Genomic DNA, 5,823 nt, shown 5'->3' on the forward strand with positions numbered 1-5,823 from the left:
GACCCTGAGTATTGGGGGGGGGAACTGATTTATAATAGAGATCTAAATGAAATTTATATTTATTGTATATTTTGGAGTGCTTCATAGTATTTCCATGCTTAAAGGAAAAGATTATTAGAAAGCAACTGCTACCTAACTCAAGCAGAGCCACCGAAGTTCTTGTAAGTTGTTCCTATGTAAAAAAAAATTATTCTCTTCTTCCTCATGGTGATATTATGTGAGGTTTATTGCTGATGAAAACTAGAAGAGTAGCCAGTGTCATCACTTAGTGGTACTAGACTAGGACAGCAATGTCTTCATGACATTTTCTCTTAAGACTCACTAGCAAGTTATGACTTTGTATTTTCCCTCACTGGAAAAGGAATACACCTGTTTATTATTTGTTTGTTGATGAAGAAAAGTTGCATGTTAGGTTGGAAGATTTCCTGTATTTGTTTGTATAAAAAGAAAGCTGTGAGCATGCAGTACTCTTTTTTCTTTTCTTTCTTTTTCTCTTATTAAAATTTCCTTCCATTAAAGATCTCTCTTTCCTCCACTTGTGTAAATTTTGGACAAAGATAACTACAGTATACTCAGCTCAAAAATGGTAGAGTAGATGACTAGTTGCACTCTCTTAACGTTCTCATGTGGAAATGTATAGTATGAACAGAGACACACAGAAAATTTACGGAAGAAGCATTATCTAACGTTATAAACATAAATAAAGATCTATAATGTCTTGCTACTGAAAGTTTTGAGTCTGCCTTATTGCCTCTTCTTCCTTCTAGTTAATCACATAATCCTTCAGTCTTGTGATAATATACCCTATATCCGCTGGGTTATTTCATTTTTGCTTTTGTTTTTTTGGAGATAAATATTTCTCTTATTTTCATTATTAGTTCAAAAATATCAGCTTTAATTTTCACAATCAGGACAAATAACAAGAAAATATTAGAGACATAAAAACTGAATAATACTTTTAAAGATTTAATGTTTTATATTAATTTTAGTATAGTGTGAAATAGAACAATTATAATTAACAGATCATATTATCTACTGACCACAAGCATATTTAGAATAAAACTAAGAAAAAACAAAATTATTCATTTTCAAGAAGATTTAAATAAAATTGTTAAATAGTGTATCAGTATACTAAAAAACCATCATTTTTAAACCAATTAACTTTAGAACACTTATATGTTACTAAGGAGCCAAATATAATATGGAAATATAGAACATGTCTGTTTGTATTTGTGTGTATAGAGAGAACATCAAGCCAAAGAAGAAAAAATTATTGAATATCCTATTTTTAGATTGAATTACAAACAATTTCTACTCTCTTATTTACAATTTTACATCCAAAAATATTTCCAAGTATTAAAATCAAGACCGTTTTCCTTTTCTTTAATTTTTAAGTCAGAAAGAAACTATGAAAGGTCTTAAATTTTACCCTTGTGTAGCTGGATGTGTACATAGATAGATAGATGATACAAAAGCATACATGCTAGCAGAAACATGTGGCCCGAGTCGGAAATCAGAATTTCATTTAGATACAGCAATAGGAGGGCAGAATAACATTCTAGCATTGGTGCTATCAGTTTCAACCTCATGTATTTTGATACTCTTGTTAAATGCATAATCATATAGGATTATTTTGTCTTCCCACCTTGATAAGCTTTCTTGTTTGTGTGTCTGACTTATCTGAAATTAGTATAGATAGATACTCCAGTTTTCTTTATTAGTGGTATGTTATATATTTCTTCATCCCTTTTCTTTCAACTTTATATCTAAAGTGATTTTCTTAAAGTCAGTATAGAGTCAATTCTTGTTTTTATAAATTCACTTCGACAATTTCTGACTTTTAATTGGTGTATTCAGATGTTTAACAGTTAAAGTGATTAATAATGATAATATCATTGGGTGAATATCTAAAATGATCATAACTTTTTTTATTCATTGCCCTTATTCTTTATTCACCCTATTTTTCTGCCTTGTCTAGGTTTAATTGAACATTTTACATTGACATTTTATCTTGCTCTTCACCCATGTGTCAAGATAAATAATATATATACTGTTTCATTGTTGTCCTGTGTTCATAACATACATTTATAGCCAATCTAAATCCATTTTGACTATGCCATCACCCTTCACATATAGTTCAGATAACTTTTTACAGAGTATTCACGGTTTCTGCTGTCCCTTATAACATTGCTAGTATTAATTTCCTCTATAGATGCTATGATCACACAATCCGTTATCATTATTTACTTAAACATTTATATTTAGATCAATTAATAAAAATACAGTATTTATTTACCTTCATTTACTTGTTATTTGGTGCTTTTCCATTTTTAAATGTAAGTTTAAGTTTCTATATTATTTTTCTTCTCTCTGAATAACTTCTTTTAAAATTTATTAAAAGGCGATTCTGCTAGCAACAAAATACACAAGTTTTGTTTGTCAGAAGAAGTCTCTATTTCTCCTTCATGTTTGTAGGATAATTTTACTGAATATAGAATTTAGTATTTTATTGCAAAACTTTTAACACTTTAAATATTTTACTCCAATTGCTTCTTGCTTGCATTGCTTATAAAGAGAGGGCCACTGGAATTTTAATCCTTATTTCATTATAGATAAGGAAGCTTTTCTCTGATATCCCTTACAAATTTCTCTTTATCTTTGGTTTTATGCACCTCGAATGTGATATGCCTTGGGGTTGGTGAGTGTATTTGTGTGTGTGTGCACACGTGTGTGTGTGTGTGTGTGTGTGTGTGTATTTATCCTACAAGGTATTGTCTAAACTTCCTGGATCTATGGTTTGATGTCTGTCATTAATACTGGAAAGTTATTGATGATTATTACTTTAAATATTTCTTCTGATCTGTTTTCTTTTTCTGCTATTGATATTCCAATTATTTTATGTTAAACTTTTTCATACTATTCCACAGCTTGTTAATGCTTTGTTCTGTGGTTTTCATTCTGTTTTCTTTGTGCATTGCAGTATGAGAAGTTTCTATTAATCTGTCTTCAAGTTTACTCATTCACTCCTTAGCTATGTTGAGTCTATTGATGTTTCCATAAGACATTTTTCATTTGTATTACTGTGTTTTAGAATTGTAACATTTCCTGATTATATCTTAGTTTCTATCTGTGTACTTACATTATTTATCTGTTCTTTCATTTTGTCTTTTTCCATTACAGTTAACATGTTAATTATAGTTATTTTAAATTTCCTGTCCAATAGTTCTAACATCTGTGTCAACCTTAGGCTGGTTCTATGAGTGCTTGTTTTCTTAGGTTGTGTTTTTTCTTGCCTTTTGGCATACTAGCAAATTTTTGGTTGAAAGTAGGGAATGGAAACTGAGGTAAATTAGGCCTTTAGAATGAGAATTTAAGTTAATCATGCTAGGAATTGGGCTATGTTTAATGTTTGTTGCAGCTTTTGTACCAGAGACTTCAAATTCTTTGGTGTTTTTATCTCCTGTCTTGATTTTTGGAATAAATATATACACACATATATTTATATGTCTGTGTGTGTGTACATGCATACACAGACATATATACACAGAGGAATACACATCTACTCATGTATGTAGGTATATACCTCATCATAGAGAGTATCTATTGTCCACCTGTTTCATCTAAATCCACTGTAATTATATTGGATCCCTGTTTGTGCGATGGCAAACTCACAGGGCAGGGGAGTGTTCTATAATCTGCTAATTAAGATTCAGCATTTGAGAGGCCTTTGTTTTATTGCTGTGACTTTCACAAGCTTTTTCTCAGTGTTACAGTGTTGACCCCATCTCCTACTTTCTGCCCTGGCTGAAAAGTTCCAACTCTACTTCCTGGAACCCCAGTACCTTTCTGACTGTTTCTTTTTTTTTTTTCTTTCTTGTTTTGTGAGTCCATGCTGGTGTGAGCTGGACTGGAGATCAGCTCTTTTTTCCAAGCTTGGATAAAGTTTTACAATTTTGCTTTCTGGAAGTACTTTTACCCAGAGAATAGTCCTTTGTTATAGAGAAGAATATGACTGTGTTTCACAGCAGTTATACTCCCTTTCCTCTTGCCAGAGTTAAGAGAAAATATTTTTGCATCTGCACAGTGAAAACTAAAAACTCCTGGGGTTCCTGGAAGATAGCCCATTAAAGCATGGCCCCTCTTCAAACGGTGGTCACATAGGTTTCTCACTTTCATATTGGTCTTATTCTATCTCCAATAATTGGTCAAAATAATTTTTTAATCCCAGTTCATGGGTCCAGTGGCTTCTGCATCAGACAAGCATATCTAAGTGACAATCTCTTTCTGGGTATGCTTGCCTCTCTTGTTTGGCTAGTTTACTATGCAATCTTTGTTCTTTAATATATCCAAGAAAAGTCATTGATTTTGAGTTTGTTCAGCTTTTCCTTATTGTAAGAATAGAAGTAGAAGCTTCCATGCTTTTCACAGGTTGGAGCTGAATGAAACTGGATGAGGCTGCATTTCTCCCTCAATTTTAAGACACTAACAACAAAATACTTTCCATAAACTTAAGTTGCTGTTTTTCTATCTCTATGAAATGTTCCGTTTATGCAAGCATTTAGAAGTGTTTGATAACACTCTCTCAGAAATTTCTCTCAATTCTACTCCGTTCCTCTGATATTGTTTATGAATATTATAAAATAGGTATGATACATGTATATAGTATACAAGCATATAAAAATCCTAATACATAATCTGCCCTTGAGAACAGTTTTGTTTTCTCCTCTGATTCTCACCCTGGATAAGTTCTTTGTAATGTACACATTGGTCTCCATCTCCAACTGCATTTTTTCAAACTGGTAGCACGTAAGAATTGCTCTGGAAGCTCTTAAAATACATTTGTGCCTGCTCCACTTTCATAAGTGACTGATTTTATTCACATTTTATAAATAAAATAACCAGAAACAACTTCTTTGTTTATGAAACTTTTAAGATGATGAAAACATGAAACAGGAGTGAAAAATCAGTTCTATATTTGAAATATTAAGCTTCCTCAAAATTAAAAGTTTTGTGCTTCAAAAGACACCATGAAAAGCTACAACACAAAAAGGTAAACTTGCAAATCATATATCTGTTAATCCACTTGCATCCTATTGGGAGAAAAGCCAAGTGTTGGGACAGAAGCTGAGGCAGGGCTTGGAACATGTCCAGGGTCCAGGGTAAAACCCCTCGTGGCCTTTGGAATGTGTCCAGACTTGCTGGCTCCTTGCTTCTAGCACTTCCATTATCTCAAGTAGCCATAGCTTTCAAAGAAAATGCTAAACCATCACAGCTGTAGCTCATTCACTTGATACACCACTTCCTTTCAACCCCCCACATCCTCACCACCTGTTTCTTTGTTTGATCACCAATAAATAGCATGGGCTCCCACAGCTCGGGGCCTTCACAGCCTCCATACTAGCGTTGGCCCCCTGGTCCACTTTCTCTCTTAACTTGTCTTTTCTCATTCTTTTGACTCCGCCAGACTTCATAGCCCCCACGGCCTGATGTTGGGTCTGATCACCCCAACACATCCAGAATATAGAAAGAACTATTACAAGTCAATAATAGGAAGACAAACAATGAATTTAAAAGTTGTACTAACGATATGAATAGACATTTCACCAAAAAAGACAGAATGGTCAATAAACAGTTGTAAGTTGCTCAACCTTATCCCTCATTAGAAAAAATGCAAATTAAAATCATAATAAAGTACACCTCAAACTTATTAGAATAGCTATCATAAAAAGGACAGACAATAATAAGATGTTGGCAATAACAAAGAGAAAGTGAAATCTTCATACACTGCTGATGGGAGTGTAAAATGGTTCAGCTGCTTTAGAA

The 5,823-nt window shown here is 32.9% G+C and overlaps 1 annotated feature.

Annotated features, from left to right (window-relative positions):
* Window positions 4,923-5,568: an enhancer, noted in NCBI's record as "OCT4-NANOG hESC enhancer chr3:162316147-162316792 (GRCh37/hg19 assembly coordinates)". NCBI's record gives its function as "activates a minimal SCP1, AML or CMV promoter by ChIP-STARR-seq in naive and primed H9 embryonic stem cells {active_cell/tissue: H9 hESC(naive and primed)}" and the evidence as "EXISTENCE:reporter gene assay evidence [ECO:0000049][PMID:30033119]".

This window comes from Homo sapiens, chromosome 3, assembly GCF_000001405.40.
Source record: "Homo sapiens chromosome 3, GRCh38.p14 Primary Assembly".
In the NCBI taxonomy this organism is placed as follows: domain Eukaryota; kingdom Metazoa; phylum Chordata; class Mammalia; order Primates; family Hominidae; genus Homo; species Homo sapiens.